General features: G+C 50.7%; 1 protein-coding gene and 2 pseudogenes across 1 annotated transcript; 1 reads left to right on the top strand and 2 right to left on the bottom strand.

Annotated features, from left to right (window-relative positions):
• The window catches only part of LOC124901865 (translation initiation factor IF-2-like), a 451,468-nt pseudogene that overhangs the window by 342,350 nt on the left and 90,100 nt on the right, over window positions 1-19,018 (bottom strand).
• On the bottom strand, window positions 4,389-7,399 carry FAM90A14 (family with sequence similarity 90 member A14). Its single transcript, NM_001164452.1, has 4 exons — window positions 7,277-7,399; window positions 6,583-6,782; window positions 6,016-6,124; window positions 4,389-5,351 (listed from the first exon to the last, which is right to left on the bottom strand). Exons 1-4 carry the CDS (start codon window positions 7,397-7,399, stop codon window positions 4,389-4,391), a joined length of 1,395 nt encoding a protein of 464 aa, NP_001157924.1.
• On the top strand, window positions 16,724-17,680 carry OR7E154P (olfactory receptor family 7 subfamily E member 154 pseudogene; annotated as a pseudogene).

Here is a 19,018-nt window from a genome sequence, read left to right as displayed (position 1 = left end):
TCCAAGAGTAAACCCCACCTGCCACAGGGCCCGTGGCCTAGGTATGGGGGGTTGAGCTTTCAACCCCAAACAAACAACTGATTCTGGAGACTGGACTTAGGTCTCTCACGGTTCACTCCGGTAGAAGACACGGTGATTCTATCTCCCTTGACGGACAGAATGATCGAAGACACAGGGCATGGCGTGTGCCACCCTTTGGCAGGTCTGCTTGAAGTCACGGATAAGGGATGCTTCCTGTGATAACTTGAATCGCTACTCTTGCCATTTCATTAGGCAACTTCCAAACACAAATTCATACAGAGAAGTTACCTTCCTCTCTACCGCACTAGCAGGTGATGATCTTTCCTGTTCTATCTTTTGGCTTTAGCTCCAGCCCCTCTTTATTTATTTTCCTGGTATTTTACGCATACCACACGAATTCATCTGAACAAACGGGGAAGAAGTGCCGTATCGTATCGACGTCTTACACGGCTGAAGGGCAAACCCCCCTTTTTTCCAAAGTCCTTTTTCCATTTACCCACCAACTCAGCATGCTGCAGTACATTTCTTTTCGCATTCCCATCTTGGTCTTCTCCCACACGTGGAGACGGATATGTTGTCTCGTTTTCTGTTCCAAGAATTACTAGTAACGAGAACACATCCTACCCCACCAGCAAGCCCCAGTGTGATCGGTTTCTTTCGGACTCCTTTGTCTCTTCCTCCCCCCGCCCCTCCCCGCCAAAACCACTCAGGGATTGCGTGAAACAAACAATTGTTCAGCGAAACTAACCTGAAATTACACGTCTACTTTCTTTCCCAGGCTGGCGCTGAGATGGGCAGGTGCTGCAGCAGCCCCGCTGGAAGCGATGCAGCATCCAGGACGACGGAGGAAGGGGCGGAGAGGGACCTCTGCTTTCCAGGCTGCCTTTTATACTGCCTCTGGTCACCTGACATGGAACGTACCCTAACCTAATCAGTTACCTGTACCTTAATTGCAATTAACTTAATCCAATTACATGACCTGGAAAGGTCTATCTGCACAGCCCACTCTAAGATCATGTCCACTGCTGACAGACATTCTAAAACCTACTTGTACAGCTGCAAGCTTTGAACAATAGATGTTCCCCGTCAGACATGTAACACTGGTGCCTGTACCCCTGTCTTCTTTTCCATCTTTTCTGTTGTTTTGTTTTGTTTTGTTTTAAAAAATGTGGTAAAATAGACACCTTTTAATTGGACCACATTTTGTCTATCTCGACGTAGGCCTCAGTGTCATCAAGGAGACTCTGCTTGACATGCAGTCAAGGCCATGATCCATCTTCAGAGCTTCTCTTTCTTCCCCAAGGTAAGTCTGTCAGCAGAGAACCCTGACCGCACCCTCATGTGTTTTCTCCCCCAGGAGGCGCTTGGAAACCACCGTGAATTGGACCGCACTGGGAAACACAGATGAGGAAAGTCAACAACGCTTTGTCCTTCAGTGCCTGGCTCCTTTTTCAGCTCGTCTTGCGACTCCAGGCATTATGCCTGAAAAGTCTCCCGGACGCCTGTGAGGCTGTAATTCCCTGGGTCCCATTGCCATGTCTCTGGATTTGCGAAGATCCACCGCACCTTCTGTGGAACTCCCGTGTCGGTGAACTTTTGTGCCACGGCCCCTAATTCTGCCCATGGTCATCCGCACCTGCACGACTTAGGGTCCATGTTCCTTGGACGGGAAGAGACAGGCAGGAGTCGGAATGATGAACCAGCACACTGGGGCGTTTTCTCATGTAGCCCAAGTGACCCCATGGTCTTCTCGAGCTTTGGAACCAGTCGCGTCCCCTTTGACACTGCACCCGGCTCCCAGTCTCTCAATCTTGTTGGCCCTCCGGCGATCTCCCGTTGGATGAATTGCTCCTGCTGAAACTCCAGTCCCCTTTGATTTGCGCTTCATTAATTATTCATGATTCAGGTTGGAAGGCCTGCTGACGACCCCCTGTGGCCGTTCTCTGAGCTTTCCTGTCACATCGTTTCCTTCCACGCTCTTTGGTTCCTTATGGTCCTGCTCCCTCTGCTGTCAGAGGAGCAGAGAGTTGATCTTATTCATTCTGGATACGGATACTTTCTAGGTGATCTGGATAATCAAGATAACGACCCTCAACAGCGGCGGAGAGGGAGCAGCCAGTTGGTGTGTCTCAGAAAATCCCACTGAGTTCCGAGGCCTCCTAGATGTGGAATCCTGCTGAGAGTTGTTCCCAGGTCAGAGAATGGAGAGAGCCTGTGCATGATGGGATATCCCCGCCTAGATCTTTCAGTGAGTCTCTACCTCAGCTACTCTTAGGATCAGGGGGAGAACCATGGTGTCAGACATCCGGAAAGAAGACGGGATGAATGTTTTACCTCTGAAGTACATCCCAAATGTGGGAGTTAACTTCAGCTTTGCTGGGGTCTATTTGGCCAGTGAAACTCTGCCTGGTTCCTTCGCACATCCGGAAGCCACTTCACGGGGGGCCGTCGCAACTGGAACCACACACTTGGCATCGGCGGTTGAGCCAAATGGGGACTCGTGGTGCAAGCAACGCTCCCCACGTGTTAGCGTGCGTGAGATGCGGTTGGCGGGATTTTACTAGGTGCGTGTTGGTAGAGTGGGGCTGAGGTTTTCTTGCTCCTGTGGATGTATAGCAAGTCAAAGGTCCTGCCCAGCCCTGCGGTCCCCTCAGTCAACTCTGTTTCGGAGACGTAACGATTTGGATTGCCAACAAGTCAAGAAATGTTCAAGCCCTTGGATGTAGGGTAAAGAAAGAGAGATCAGACTGTCACTGTGTCTATGTAGAAGGGGAAGACATAAGAGACTCCATTTTGAAAAAGACCTGTAGTTTAAACAATTGCTTTGCTGAGATGTTGATCATTTGTAGCTTTGCCGCAGCCCCTTCCTTTGACCCAACTTGGAGCTCACAAAAACCTGTGTTGTATAAAATCGAGGTTTAAGGGATCTAGGGCTGTGCAGGACGCGCCTTGTTAACCAAATGTTTACGAGCAGTATACTTGGTAGGAGTCATTGCCATTCCCTAGTCTCAATAAACCAGGGGCGCAATGCACCGTGGAAAGCCACAGGGACCTCTGCCCTTGAAAGCAGGGTATTGTCCAAGGTTTCTCCCCATGTGACAGTCTGAAATATGGCCTCGTGGGATGGGAAAGACCTGACTGTCCCCCAGCCTGACACCCGCAATGGGTCTGTGCTGAGGTGGATTAGTCAAAGAGGAAAGCCTCTTGCAGTTCAGATGGAGGAAGGCCACTGTCTCCTGCTTGCCCCTGGGAACTGAATGTCTCGGTGTAAAGCCCGATCGTACATTTGTTCAACTCTGAGCTCGGAGAAAAGCTGCCCTGTGGCGGGAGGCGAGACATGTTGGCAGTAATGCTGCCTTGTTATTCTTTACTCCGCTGAGATATTTGTGTGGAGAGAAACATAAATCTGGCCTACGTGCACGTCCAGGCATAGTACCTTCCCTTGAACTTAATAATGATATGGATTCTTTTGCTCACGTGTTTGTTTTTGTTGTTGCTGTTGAACTTCCCCTTATTATCACCCTGCTCCCCTACTGCATTCCTTTGTGCTGTAATAATGATAATCATAATCAATAAAAACTGAGGGAACTCAGAGGCCGGTGCCGGTGCAGGTCCTAGGTGTGCTGAGTGCCGGTCCCCTGGACCCACTGTTGTCTCCCTATACTTTGTCTCTGTGTCTTATTTCTATTCTCCATCTCTCATCCCACCCGACTAGAAACACCCACAGGTGTGGAGGGGCAGGCCACCCCTTCACTTGGAAAATCAGTTACACACAAACACGGAATGAGAGTCAAAAGACAATATGTCATCTTTTTGAGAATTTTATTCACTTCAAAACCAATTAAACACACATATGTACAAAGGCATTCCAGAGCCCAGTTTTCGAGGCTGAGGAAAGACCCCGAGAGCGCTTCACACAGCACGCTTCCCAGCGTCCGAAACTCTGCTCTCAGGGCGGGGCACAGAGGAAGGGCTGCACCTCTCAGGGTTCCCTAACTTTTCCCTTATTCAGTCATCTAGAGAGCAAATACACAGTAATTCCCCAGTTTCCTATTGACGTCCCAGCGGAAGTCTGACTCCTGCGCGTCACGCAGTTTCTGAGGCAACGAATCTCTGGCACGGAAGCTTTTCCTGGCGCGTTTCGGGAGAACCACGCCAACTACAACGTCCCTCACCAGAATTCAATGAGGCAGAGTCCCTGCATCTGCTCCCTGCCTGGCCTGGGCTCCCACATCCACAGAAGCGCCACAGCCGGGGAGCTTCGGAGTCACCGCACAGAGTCTGCTCTCTGCTCTGCGCTCCTCAGTCCCACAGTCCCCTCCAAGTCACGGGAGCTGGAGGCCAAGGAGCCCCTGCCACCTGCAGTCTCACTCCAGGTCAGAATCGCTGTCCTCTGAGGAGGAGGAAACCTGAAGGTCCTCATAGAGGACGCTCGGTGGGACACGAACACAGGGAGCCTCAGACTTCTCTGACACATGAGGGCTCTGAGCGAGGAAGGCTCCCGGCTTCTCAGGAGAGTGAAATGAGGGGGCCGCCAGGAGGCTGGAGCTCCAGCGTCCGTTTTCCAGTCTCCGGAAGAGCACTCTGAGAGGCTGGGCCCCATCATGGCTGGCCGCTGGGTGATGGGACATGGTGCAGGCCTGGGCAGTGGGCAGGCAAGGTCTGCTGTGCGGAGGCTGCCGGTCGACGCTGGGCACCTGGGCCGGTGTCCTCCTGCCCATCTGGGGCGACGTACTTGGTCCAAGTTCGGTTGCGGCTGGCGGAGGTTGGAGATTCTCCGGGGCCCCCAGCTCACCTCCCTGGATGGCGCTTTCGGGGATCTGGAAGGGACCCAGTCTCGGTTTCTTGGGGAAGTTCAGGCAAGCCTGAATCGGAGCCTGGGCAGGTCTCTTGGCTCCTGGCCCGAAGCTGAGATTGGAGCCTAGGCCCAAGCTGTGTGTGGCGGCTGGCGGGCAGGGCTGTGAGGTCACCGCAGGACGTTTGTCTTGTGCCTGGGGTCTGGCGGCCTGGAGCAGGCCGTGGGTTTTGGAGGCAGCCTGGGGAACTTCTCGGCAGTCACCCTCGGGGCGGCTGTGTGTCGGCTTCACCACGAGGAGAGGCTCGCGGCCCTGGTGCCTGACTGCAGGCTGAGGCATGTCGGCCGCAGCCCCTGTCTGTCTTTCCTTTGGTCCAAGACTTGAGGAGGAGCTCAGGCTGGCTTTTCTGAGGGGAGACAGTGAAGCCAAGACGGAGCCCCTGCCAGACATTTCGGTAGCTGAGCGATCAGCGAGGACAGGGTCCAAGCGCGGCCTCTTACTGGTTGTGTGGACCGGCATTGGCCCGCTTGCAACCTGAAAGAGAGGAAACAACACAGGTTAGAAGTTCCTCAGCATGGAGCCAACGTGAAAATCAAGCACATCCAAAGACAAGGTGCACACGCCATGAAATTCTTAGTACAGTATCGACAGGCGGTCCTTGGAAGTAGGGACAGACCCTCCACCTGAGTGCTGATCAGGACAAGACACATGAAAGATGCGCTCTCGAGCTATGTGTAGCTGATCTAAGCACACCATTGTTCAAAAGATCGCGTCTTGGGCATTAACTGGATCAAAGCGCCTCCACTCAGCCTTCCATGAAGTGGAACGGACTAATGCCCTTCCCAAGGCAGGTTGCTGGCTCAAGGGTACTCGGGACGTCTTCTCTGAACACATGCATGTTCCTGGGTTTCGCCTTCTCCACGTTTGGGGCCTCTGAGGGACTAATTTCCTCATGCCGCTAGGAACGTGTTGTTGGCAGGCTTGCCATAATTGGACAGAAAGAAAGCAACAGGAAATACGGCATGTTCAGATGCCTTCGCCTGGAATCCAATTGACCTGGAAGGATCGTGGAGTCCCTGACCCCAAGAAGGCAAGAAAGAGGGGTTCCCCGATTTCCTCCCGCAGACGGGAAGCTGAAAGGAAATCAACCAGGGTGACCTAGAGGAGAAAAAGACCAGGGGCCCGGGGTGACACTCGCCCTCAGATAATCAGAAGGTTCCGTGGATCCTTTTCCATTCGGCAGCGGCTTCTCTGGAGGTTTCCCGGAAAACATGTGGAGGAGAGCCTTCCTCTGCGGGTCTTGTTGCCTGCAGAACAGAAAAAGGTCAGGCCGTGCCCCCTGGTTTTCCCCAGGAGACAGGGAGAACCCCGTCTGGGGCCCAGCCCCATTCCGTGTTTTGTGATACAGAAATGGACATCTGGTGCCCTTTCCGCCTCTGCACCTTCCCTCACGTGCCAACCTTCCCATCCTCCAGGTGGCCCTCTAGGCTTCCGAACTAAGGACTGTGATTTGGATTCCATCGCTTTTCCCCCTGTCGTGGGGAACCTGCACGAAGCGCCCCCGCCTCTCCCCGTCCCTGAATCTCCCAGAGCCCAAGGAGCTCCTGGGTGTGGAACCCCGGAGGACACGGAGCTCCGGCCTATTTCTCTGCAGCGCTCCTTCCCTGGCCCGGAGACGGAAAGGCACACGGTGTGCAGGTGCAGAGACACCATGTCCTTAGGAGGCAGCATCCTAAGAGTGGTGAAAACCCCTCCCACTGCTCACCTTGGTCTCTCTTCCTTCTCTCCCTTATCCTTGTTCAAGGGCCCCGGGTTGGCTTCAACCCGGGGCTTCCATGGTTTCAGGTTTTCCTTCCCTTCCTTTTTCCCCAAGGTCGCTGGAACCAGGGCTGCCTTCCAGCACTTCATGGGGCACCTGGTACTTCTGGCCGTGTGGCCAAAGGCCCCGCAGTTTTTGCACTTGAGCTGTGGGTGGAAAGGAAGTGATGTCAGTGAGTGAGCTGAAGCCACAGGCAGCGATCCCACGTCAACATTGGGACGGATTGTGAATTCAGAGCTGAATAAGGATTCCAAAGAGGGGACACCGGCATGGGGGCCGTTAAGTGCTGGGAGAGTTCGGATACGATGTTCCCTCGCAAAGCCCGTGTGACGGAGGAACTCTGAAAGGAAGGACTCAAGGTTCCAAGGGGCACGATGGTGAAGCCGATGTCAACAACGCAGCCAAACGTGGCTACACAGGACTCTAAGTAGAAAGGGAGGTTGCCCCCAAGAGTCTCTCAAGGGACCTATCGGGCCGGGGAGAAGGTCCCAAGCCACGCCCACCTTGGATGGGAAAAGCAACCTGGCTGGTGGTGACAGAACTCTTTGGAATCCAACCCAGTCTCTGAGGACCGTGGGACACCCCCTCCCCCCGTCCCCACCCCCACCCCGATACCCAAGAGATCCAGGGCTAGACTTACCCTGGGATCTTCTTCATCGGGCGGGGGAGCCCTTGGCCCAACTGGGGCCCTCCGCTGCTTCTGGAGGGTCTGGGCTCTCACCAGTCTCTTGGCCCAAGATGTGGGGTCCCGACGTGCCATCATCTTCGTCTCCTGGGGGTTTTATGACCGCCTTTTTCAGGGGTGGACTGTTGGGCCACCTGAAACACACACAAACACACACATGTCGATGGTTAAGCACGTTGGATATTCACACACCCACAGGAAGCCACCTGCTAACTCCCTGCCTGTGTGGTCATGAGGAGACCTCACCACCAGTCGGTCAAATCTGTAGAACACAATGTGCTGTGCGCATTCTCGGATATTGTGTGTTCCTCTGCCATGACTACCTAGTCCAAGAGTAAACCCCACCTGCCACAGGGCCCGTGGCCTAGGTATGGGGGGTTGAGCTTTCAACCCCAAACAAACAACTGATTCTGGAGACTGGACTTAGGTCTCTCACGATTCACTCCGGTAGAAGACACGGTGATTCTATCTCCCTTGACGGACAGAATGATCGAAGACACAGGGCATGGCGTGTGCCACCCTTTGGCAGGTCTGCTTGAAGTCAGGGATAAGGGATGCTTCCTGTGACAACTTGAATCGCTACTCTTGCCATTTCATTAGGCAACTTCCAAACACAAATTCATACAGAGAAGTTACCTTCCTCTCTACCGCACTAGCAGGTGATGGTCTTTCCTGTTCTATCTTTTGGCTTTAGCTCCAGCCCCTCTTTATTTATTTTCCTGGTATTTTACGCATACCACACGAATTCATCTGAACAAACGGGGAAGAAGTGCCATATCGTATCGACGTCTTACACGGCTCAAGGGCCAACCACCCTTTTTTCCAAAGTCCTTTTGCCGTTTACCCACCAATTCAGCATGCTGCAGTACATTTCTTTTCGCATTCCCATCTTGGTCTTCTCCCACACGTGGAGACGGATATGTTTTCTCGTTTTCTGTTCCAGGAATTACTAGTAACGAGAACACATCCTACCCCACCAGCAAGCCCCAGTGTGATCGGTTTCTTTCGGCCTCCTTTGTCTCTTCCTCCCCCCCACCCCCCGCAAAAACCCCCCAGGGATTGCGTGAAAGAAACAATTGTTCAGCGAAACCAACCTGAAATTACACGTCTACTTTCTTTCCCAGGCTGGCGCTGAGATGGGCAGGTGCTGCAGCAGCCCCGCTGGAAGCGATGCAGCATCCAGGACGACGGAGGAAGGGGCGGAGAGGGACCTCTGCTTTCCAGGCTGCCTTTTATACTGCCTCTGGTCACCTGACATGGAACGTACCCTAACCTAATCAGTTACCTGTACCTTAATTGCAATTAACTTAATCCAATTACATGACCTGGAAAGGTCTATCTGCACAGCCCACTCTAAGATCCTGTCCACTGCTGACAGACATTCTAAAACCTACTTGTACAGCTGCAAGCTTTGAACAATAGATGTTCCCCGTCAGACATGTAACACTGGTGCCTGTATCCCTGTCTTCTTTTCCATCTTTTTTGTTGTTTTGTTTTGTTTCGTTTTAAAAAATGTGGTAAAATAGACACCTTTTAATTGGACCACATTTTGTCTCTCTCGACGTAGGCCTCAGTGTCATCAAGGAGACTCTCCTTGACATGCAGTCACGGCCATGATCCATCTTCAGAGCTTCTCTTTCTTCCCCAAGGTAAGTCTGTCAGCAGAGAACCCTGACCGCACCCTCATGTGTTTTCTCCCCCAGGAGGCGCTTGGAAACCACCGTGAATTGGACCGCACTGGGAAACACAGATGAGGAAAGTCAACAACGCTTTGTCCTTCAGTGCCTGCCTCCTTTTTCAGCTCGTCTTGCGACTCCCGGACGCCTGTGAGGCTGTAATTCCCTGGGTCCCATTGCCATGTCTCTGGATTTGCGAAGATCCACCGCACCTTCTGTGGAACTCCCGTGTCGGTGAACTTTTGTGCCACGGCCCCTAATTCTGCCCATGGTCATCCGCACCTGCACGACTTAGGGTCCATGTTCCTTGGACGGGAAGAGACAGGCAGGAGTCGGAATGATGAACCAGCACACTGGGGCGTTTTCTCATGTAGCCCAAGTGACCCCATGGTCTTCTCGAGCTTTGGAACCAGTCGCGTCCCCTTTGACACTGCACCCGGCTCCCAGTCTCTCAATCTTGTTGGCCCTCCGGCGATCTCCCGTTGGATGAATTGCTCCTGCTGAAACTCCAGTCCCCTTTGATTTGCGCTTCATTAATTATTCATGATTCAGGTTGGAAGGCCTGCTGACGACCCCCTGTGGCCGTTCTCTGAGCTTTCCTGTCACATCGTTTCCTTCCACGCTCTTTGGTTCCTTATGGTCCTGCTCCCTCTGCTGTCAGAGGAGCAGAGAGTTGATCTTATTCATTCTGGATACGGATACTTTCTAGGTGATCTGGATAATCAAGATAACGACCCTCAACAGCGGCGGAGAGGGAGCAGCCAGTTGGTGTGTCTCAGAAAATCCCACTGAGTTCCGAGGCCTCCTAGATGTGGAATCCTGCTGAGAGTTGTTCCCAGGTCAGAGAATGGAGAGAGCCTGTGCATGATGGGATATCCCTGCCTAGATCTTTCAGTGAGTCTCTACCTCAGCTACTCTTAGGATCAGGGGGAGAACCATGGTGTCAGACATCCGGAAAGAAGACGGGATGAATGTTTTACCTCTGAAGTACATCCCAAATGTGGGAGTTAACTTCAGCTTTGCTGGGGTCTATTTGGCCAGTGAAACTCTGCCTGGTTCCTTCGCACATCCGGAAGCCACTTCACGGGGGGCCGTCGCAACTGGAACCACACACTTGGCATCGGCGGTTGAGCCAAATGGGGACTCGTGGTGCAAGCAACGCTCCCCACGTGTTAGCGTGCGTGAGATGCGGTTGGCGGGATTTTACTAGGTGCGTGTTGGTAGAGTGGGGCTGAGGTTTTCTTGCTCCTGTGGATGTATAGCAAGTCAAAGGTCCTGCCCAGCCCTGCGGTCCCCTCAGTCAACTCTGTTTCGGAGACGTAACGATTTGGATTGCCAACAAGTCAAGAAATGTTCAAGCCCTTGGATGTAGGGTAAAGAAAGAGAGATCAGACTGTCACTGTGTCTATGTAGAAGGGGAAGACATAAGAGACTCCATTTTGAAAAAGACCTGTAGTTTAAACAATTGCTTTGCTGAGATGTTGTTCATTTGTTGCCTTGCCTCATCCACTTTGCCCCAGCCCCTTTGACCCAACTTGGAGCTCACAAAAACCTGTGTTGTATAAAATCGAGGTTTAGGGGATCTAGGGCTGTGCAGGATGTGCTTTGTTAACCAAATGTTTACAAGCAGTATACTTGGTAAAAGTCATTGCCATTCTCTAGTTTCAATAAACCAGGGGCACTATGCACCGTGGAAAGCCGCAGCGACCTCTACCCTTGAAAGCAGGTTATTGTCCAAGGTTTCTCCCCATGTAACAGTCTGAAATATGGCCCTGTGGGATGGGGAATACCTGACTGTCCCCCAGCCTGAGACCCGTAAAGGGTCTGTGCCGAGGTGGATTAGTCAAAGAGGAAAGCCTCTTGCAATTTAGATGGAGGACAGCCACTGTCTCCCGCATCCCCCCTTGCCTCCCTGGCTTTTAGGACCCGCATCGCAGGTTGTGAGGCACTCCCCCCGTTTCGGGTTGTAAGAGCCAAACCCTCTTGCCCCCCTGGCTCTTAGTTTCCCCCATCGCAGCGGGGTTAGTCACGTCCTGCTATGCTTGGGGTAAGAGCCAGCCCCTCTTGCCCCCCTGGCTCTCAGGACCCCCATCGCAGTGGTGTGAGGCACGCCCCTTGATGCGGGTATTAAGAGCCTTCCCATCTTACCTCCTGGCTCTTAGGACCCCCATCGCAGGGGGTGAGGCACGCCCCGCCATGCGCAGAGGAAGAGCTAACCCCTCTTGCCCCCCTGGTTTTTAGGATCCGCGGTGGACTCACAGCCTGTTTATCATATTGTGAGTAATATCGTCTCCCGCTCTGGAGATTGTGAACTGTTTCACCCACCAGTGTTCACCCCGGCGTACAGAGGTTGTACAACCGTCTGTATTGGGAGTCATATCATCCTCTCCCTCTCTGAATATTAAGAACAGTATCACAGGGGTGTTTCTACTCCCTCGGATATCGCGTGTCATATCCTCCTCTCCCACGTTGCAATTACAAACAATATCAGTGGGGGCGTGTCCAACTTCTGTGATACTGAAAGCAATATCATCCTCTTCCCTCCAGGATCGTGGGAACAATATCCTTGGGGGTGTCCACTTTCTGCCATATGTGTAGTCATATCACCCCCTCCGCCTTGGAATATTATTAAGAACCACGTCACACGGGGGTGTACACTTCCTACGATGTTGGGAGTAATAGCATTCTCTTCTTCCATGAATATTAGGAACAAAATCACCGGGTGGATGCACACCCAGTGCTATATTGGGAGTAATGTCATACTCCACCCCCTGGAGATTATATTCGGATCAATATCACCGGCTGGGTGTGCACCTGCTGCGATATTGAACGTAATATCATGCTCTCTCCCTCCCTGAACATTAGGAACAATATCACAGGTGGGTGTACACCCACTGAGGTATTAGGGCATACTATTAGTATGAATTATTCCTTGTTTTTTATTAACATGAATATGAATGGCCGATATTAATATTAATATTAAGAAGTAATTGCTAATAAAAAGTTCTCAGATTATTAATATTAATATTAATTATTAGGAGCTAATATTACTATTTTCTAAAGAATAAGATCAGTATCAGTTATTAATATCAGGCGTCATAATCATCAATATTAATCATGTATTGTTATTGTTAGTATAACTATTTAATATTAATTATCATTAGTATCCGTATTGATTTTTAAAATTATATTATGGGTTATTAATATTGATAATTATTAGTGTCAGTTAATAATTGAGATTATTAATTGCGGTAAGTCGCATTGCGCCATTCCACCCCTTCCTCGGCAGCTCGTTTACGACCCAAAACGGGGACACAAATGCCCCTGAGAGAGCAGCGGTATACTGGGATAGATGAAAATGCTCATGTAGTGGAGAGACGTGTTTTTGGGTACCAGCCCTTCACCTGCGTCGACCTTCTCAACTGGAAAAACAATACATCGCCCTATACCGAAAAGCCACAAGCCCTAATTGATTTGCTCCAAACTGTTATCCAGACCCACAACCACACCTGGACCGATTGGCACCAGTTGCTCATTTTCCTCTTTAACAGTGAAGAAAGGCAGAGAGTCCTCCAAGCAGCAACTAAGTGGCTAGAGGAACATGCACCAGCTGATTATCAAAACCCCGAACAGTATGGAAGGACCCAGTTGCCAGGAACCGACCCCCAGTTGGACCCACATGAAAGAGAGGAGATGCAAAGGCTAAACCGAGACAGGGAAGCTCTCTTGGAAGGATTAATGAGGGGAGCTCAGAAGGCCACAAACGTTAACAAGCTCTCTGAGGTCATTCAGGGAAAAGAAGAAAGTCCAGCACAATTCTACGAGAGACTGTATGAGGCCTATCATATGTATACTCCCTTTGATCCCGATAGCCCTGAAAATCAGCGCATGATTCACATGGCTTTAGTCCATCAAAGTGCAGAAGACATGAGAAGAAAACTGCAGAAACAGACTGGGCTTGCAGGGAAGAATCCATCCCAATTACTAGAAATAGCTAGCCAGGTGTTTGTAAACAGGTATGCAGTAAGCCGTAAGGAAAACGGCAAAGAGAATGGAGGTCAGGCCCGGCCACACGCCGACCTGTTTGTCAGCTGCAGCAATCAGAGGGGCCCCCGCAAAGAGGCAAGGGAAAGGGGGCCCTGGGAAAGAAACTCAGCTTGGCTGTCAGAGTTTGCAGCGTAACCAGTGTGCTGATTGTAAAGAAATAGGACAGTGGAAGAACAAATGCCCTCAGCTCAAAAGAAAAGAAGGTGACTCAGAGCCGGAGGCCCCGGACAAGGAGGAAGGGGCCCTGCTCAACCTGGCGGAAGGGTTCTTGGACTGAGGGAGACCGGGCTCAAGCATCCCCATTCTGACATCTGTTCAGAATGACAGTCAGGGGTGGAGACATTAACTTTCTTGTAGATAGCGGTGCTGAACATTCGCTAGTAACCGCCCCGGTCGTCCCCTTACCGAAAAAGACTACTGACGTCATCGGAGCCACGGGGGTTTCAGCAAAGCAAGCTTTCTGCTTGCCTTGGACTTGTCCTGTAGGAGGACATAAAGTCATTCATCAGTTTTGTTACATGCCTGACAGTCTCTTGAACTTTTCAGGAAGGGACTTGCTCAGCAAGCTGAGAGCCACTGCCTCTTTCACAGAGCACGGCTCTTTGCTGCTAAAGTTACCCGGAATGGGAGTCATTATGACGCTTATGGTCCCCCGAGAGGAGGAATGGAGACTTTTCTGAACTGACCCGGGCAAAGAGAAAAGACCAGCTCTGGCTAAGCGCTGGCCAAGAGTTCGGGCAGAAGAGAACCCTCCAGGATTGGCCAGTTAAGACTGGGGCCCAGCCGGTGAGGCAAAAACAGGACTCGGTCCCCAGAGAAGCCCTTCAAGGTATCCAGGTCCATCTCAAGCACCTAAGAACGTTTGGAATGATTGTTCCTTGTCAGTCTCCATGGAACACTCCCCTCCTGCCTGTTCCCAAGCCACGGACCAAGGACTACCGGCCGGTACAGGATTTGCGCTTGCTTCATCAAGCCACACTGACTTTACATCCAACAGTACCTAACCCGTCCACATTGTTGGGGTTGCCGCCAGCTGAGGACAGCTGGTTCACCTGCTTGGACCTAAAAGACGCTTTCCTTCCTATCAGATTAGCCCCTGAGAGGCAGAAGCTGTTTGCCTTTCAGTGGGAAGATCCGGAGTCAGGTGTCACTACTTAGTACACTTGGACCGGGCTTCCCCAAAGGTTCAAGAACTCCCCCACCATCTTCGGGGAGGCATGGGATCGAGACCTCCAGAAGTTTCCTAGCAGAGACCTAGGCTGCTTGTTGCTCCAGTAGGTTGATGACCTTCTGCTGGGACACCCCACGGCAGTCGGGTGTGCCAAGGGAACAGATGCCCTACACCGCACCTGGAGGACTGTGGGTAGAAGGTGTCCAAGAAGAAAGCTCAGATCTGCCGACAGCAGGTACGTTACTTGGGATTTACTATCCGACAGGGGTCGGAACGCAGCCCGAGATCAGAAAGAAAGCAGGTCATTTGCCATCTAGCGGAGCCTAAGAGCAGAAGGCAGGTAGGAGAATTCTTAGGAGCTGTGGGGTTTTGTAGACTGTGGATCCCAAACTTTGCAGTATTAGCCAAGTTTTTGTATGAGGTCACAAGGGGGACGGGGACGGGGAATCTTTGGAATGAGGATCCCAACAACAGCAAGTATTTCATGAGTTAAAGGAAAAACTTCTGGCAGCACCAGCCCTGAGGCTACCCGATCTGACAAAGCCTTTTCCATTGTATGCATCAGAGAGAGAAAGGATGGCAGCTGGACTTTGAACCCAAACTGTGGGGCCCTGGCTGAGGCTGGTGGCCTACCTCTGTAAACCACTAGACGGAGTTTCTAAAGGATGGCCCCCCTGTTGGAGGGCCTTGGCAGCAACTGCCCTGCTAGTACAAGAAGCAAATAAGCTGACTCTTGGGCGAAACCTGAACATAAAGGCCTCCCGTGCTGTGGTGATGAATACTAAAGGACGTCATTGGCTAACGAATGCCAGGCTCACCAAGTACCAAACTTTGGTCTGTGAAAATCCCCGTATAACCATTGAAGTTTGTAACACCCTACACCCCGCCACCTTGCTGCCGGTATCAGGGAGCCCTGTCGAGCCTGATTGTGTAGAAGTGTTGGACTCAATTGACTCTAGCAGACCTGAGCTCCGGGACCAGACTTGGGCATCAGTAGACTGGGAGCCACACGTGGATGGGAGCAGCTTCTTCAACCCCCAAGGAGAGAGAGGTGCAGGGTATGCAGTGATAACTCTGGACACTGTTGTTGAAACCAGGTCGTTGCCCCAGGCCACTTCAGCCCAGAAAGCTGAACTCAATGCTTTCATTTGGGCCTTAGAACTCAGTGAGGGTGAGACTGTCAACACTTACACTGATTCTCAGTATGTCTTTTTAACCCTTCAAGTGCATGGAGTGTGATAGAAAGAAAAGGGCCTATTGAATTCTGGGGGGAAAGACAGAAAATATCCACAAGAAATCTTGCAATGATTAGAAGCAGTATGGAAACCCCACAAGGTGGCAGTTAGGCATTGCAGAGGACACCAGCGAGCTTCCACCTTGCTGTGTTTGGGGAATTCCCGCGCTGAGTCAGAGGCTCGAAAAGCAGCAACTGCCCCCTTCTGGGCATCAGTGCTCCCTCAAGCACCTGATCTTGGACCTGCTTCTTCTAAAGAAGAAAGGACTTTCTCCAGGTAGAGGGAAGGACAAGTGATGGAGGAAGGATGGATTCAGTTACCAGATAGGAGAGTAGCTGTGCCACAGCTGCTAGGAGCTGCAGTTGTACTGGCTGTGCAAGAAAACACCCATCGAGGTCAGGAGTCACTGGAAAAGTTGTTAGGCCGGTATTTCTACATCTCGCCTTTGTCAACCCTTGCCAAAACGGTGAGGCAGCGGTGTGTTACCTGCTGACAGCAAGATGGGAGTCAAGGTCCAGCCGTTCCGCCCGGCATACGAGCTTGTGGAGCAGCCCCCTTTGAAGGTCTCCAGGTGGACTTCACGGAGATGCCAAAGTGTGGAGGTAACAAGCATGTACTGGTTCTTGGGCGTACCTACTCTGGGTGGGTGGAGGCCTATCCAACACGAACTGAGAAAGCTGGTGAAGTAATCCCTGTGCTTCTTCGAGATGTGATTCCTAGATTTCGACCGCCCTTATGGATCGGCTCAGACAACGGGCCTGCGTTTTTGGCTGCCTTGGTACAGAAAACGGCAAAGGTATTGGGGATCGCACGGAAACTACATGCCGCCTCCCGGCCTCAGAGTTCCGGAAAGGTGGAGAGGATGAATCGGACTATCAAAAATAGTACTACTGTCTTCCCCGCTGGATATTTAAAACAACAGCACAAGGGGCGTCAAACCACCTGCTAAATTGGAGGCAATGTTATCCTCTCCCCTCCTCCCCCGGCCCCGGATATTAGAGACAACAACACAGAGGTGATGTACACCCACTGCTTTATTGTGAGTAATATCATCCTCTCCCTTCTTGGATAGTAGGAACAGTATCACACTGTGCGTGTAGGCCTGTCGCGAAATTCAATGGAATGTCATCCTGCGCCTCCCTGGATATGACGAACAATATCACGGGGGATGTACAACTTCTGAGATATTGGGAGTGATGTCATCCTCTCCCCTCTGGAAGTTAGGGACAATATCACAGGGGTAGTGTACACCCTCTGGGATGTTGGGACTAATATCTCACAGGTGTCTGAGAATTCCTCCTCCTGGGACTCTCAGAGGATCCAGAACTGCAGCCGGCCCTCGCTTTGCTGTCCCTGTCCCTGTCCATGTATCTGGTCACGGTGCTGAGGAACCTGTTCAGCATCCTGGCTGTCAGCTCTGACTGCCCCCTCCACACCCCCATGTACTTCTTCCTCTCCAACCTGTGCTGGCCTGACATCGGTTTCACCTCGGCCATGGTTCCCAAGATGATTGTGGACACGCAGTCGCATAGCAGAGTCATCTCTCATGCGGGCTGCCTGACACAGATGTCTTTCCTGCTCCTTGTTGCATGTATAGAAGGCATGCTCCTGACTGTGATGGCCTATGACTGCTTTGTAGCCATCTGTCGCCCTCTGCACTACCCAGTCATCGTGAATCCTCACCTCTGTGTCTTCTTCGTTTTGGTGTCCTTTTTCCTTAGCCTGTTGGATTCCCAGCTGCACAGTTGGATTGTGTTACAATTAACCATCATCAAGAATGTGGAAATCTCTAATTTGGTCTGTGACCCCTCTCAACTTCTCAAACTTGCCTGTTCTGACAGTGTCATCAATAACATATTCATATATTTCGATAGTACTATGTTTGGTTTTCTTCCCATTTCAGGGATCTTTTTGTCTTACTATAAAATTGTCCCCTCCATTCTAAGGATTTCATCGTCAGATGGGAAGTATAAAGCCTTCTCCACCTGTGGCTGTCATCTAGCAGTTGTTTGCTGGTTTTATGGAACAGGCATTGGCATGTACCTGACTTCAGCTGTGTCACCACCCCCCAGGAATGGTGTGGTGGCATCAGTGATGTACGCTGTGGTCACCCCATGCTGAACCTTTTCATCTGCAGCCTGAGAAACAGGGACATACAAAGTGCCCTGCGGAGGCTGGGCAGCAGAGCATTCGAATCTCATGATCTGTTCCATCCTTTTTCTTGTGTGGGTGAGAAAGGGCAATCACATTAAATCTCTTTATCTGCAAATCCTGCCCCTTAGTCACATTCTTTTTGTGGCTTGATGGTTTTTATTCCTTTCCGCATTTCCTTTGTGAATATTGCTTTCTTCGTTATGCCTTTATCTGGAATGAGTGACGATTCTGGGATCCTTGGTTTAGCAGAAACCTCATGACAGAATCTTCTATACCTAGGTGGCCTCTTTTAGTCTCTGAGCAATAACCATGTCATCCAGGTGGAATCACAACCATCATTTTATATACACGAAGTCCTCACTTCGTTTTGGAATTCCCTGAAAACTGACTTTATGGAAACAATGTACAGAAGGTCCTCCAACAGCATTGGTTGTTCAAAGTCGTGTAGTTATACTGTTGATGAAAAATAAGTGGTTTCACTGTACATAATTTTGCTTCAAGGTGAAGTTTCCAAGAGACTTTCAAAGATGTTAAGTGAGGACATACTGTACATCAAATTCATATCCTCTTCCACAGTTCATGTGGAATTTCTTTATAAACTTCTTCTAGAGAATCTATTTAGGCAGGTTCTGTGTAGATATCCATGTCGCCGTTCCTCAATCTTGGCTTTGAGTCAAATCACCTGGGCAGCTTACACATGATGAGGACTGGTTCTCAATACCTGAGATTCTGATTTCCTTGCACCTGTGTGAGTGTGTGGATTTTTTTTTTTTTTCTTTTAAAGCACCAGAGATGGTTCCAATGACGAAGTTTTTAGAGGCATCAAGCTGCAATGAGTAAGAACAGAAATTAATTGTAATATGATTTCTTCAAATATTATCTTCAAATGCATTGTCCATCAACGCCATACAAATGTTTATTATGCTGTTTTTTCTTACCATTTCGCATTTTCTATTTCCTTCCTGTCCTTTTTTTTTTTTTTTTTTTTTTTTTTGAGTCAGAGTTTCACTCTTGTTGCCCAGGCTGGAGTTCAATGGCACGGTCTCGGCTCACTGAAACCTCTGCCTCCCGTATTCAAGCAATTCTCCTGTCTCAGCCTTCCAAGTAGCTGGGATTACAGGCATGCGCTACCATGCCTGGCTATCTTTTTGTTGTTGTTGTTGTTGTATTGTTAGTAGAGACAATGTTTCTCCATTTTGGTCAGGCTGGTCTTGAACTCCTGACCTCAGGTGATCCGGCCGCTTCCGCCTCCCAAAGTACTGGGATTACACGCATGAGGGACCGCGCCCAGCCACCACTTAGCATTTACATTTTGCAATTGTTGAAGTTATAGATTTATACACACATCAATTGCTGATTTGTTATACACTTGCATATACATAAGATGGGAAATAGAAAAGAATAAAATGGGCAC

This window comes from Homo sapiens, chromosome 8 (genome assembly GCF_000001405.40).
Source record: "Homo sapiens chromosome 8, GRCh38.p14 Primary Assembly".
NCBI classification, from domain to species: domain Eukaryota; kingdom Metazoa; phylum Chordata; class Mammalia; order Primates; family Hominidae; genus Homo; species Homo sapiens.
The sequence above is the reverse complement of the archived record's forward strand: the minus strand, read 5'-3'. Positions and strand labels throughout refer to the sequence as shown.

Excerpts from the sequence above, each read along its gene's own strand:
- FAM90A14 (NM_001164452.1), bottom strand. The coding sequence starts at position 7,399 with ATGATGGCACGTCGGGACCCCACATCTTGGGCCAAGAGACTGGTGAGA. Across the intron at positions 6,783-7,276 it reads CCGATGAAGAAGATCCCAGG|CTCAAGTGCAAAAACTGCGG; the intron begins GTAAGTCTAGCC and ends TTCCACCCACAG. Across the intron at positions 5,352-6,015 it reads AACCTTCTGATTATCTGAGG|GTTGCAAGCGGGCCAATGCC; the intron begins GCGAGTGTCACC and ends CCTCTCTTTCAG.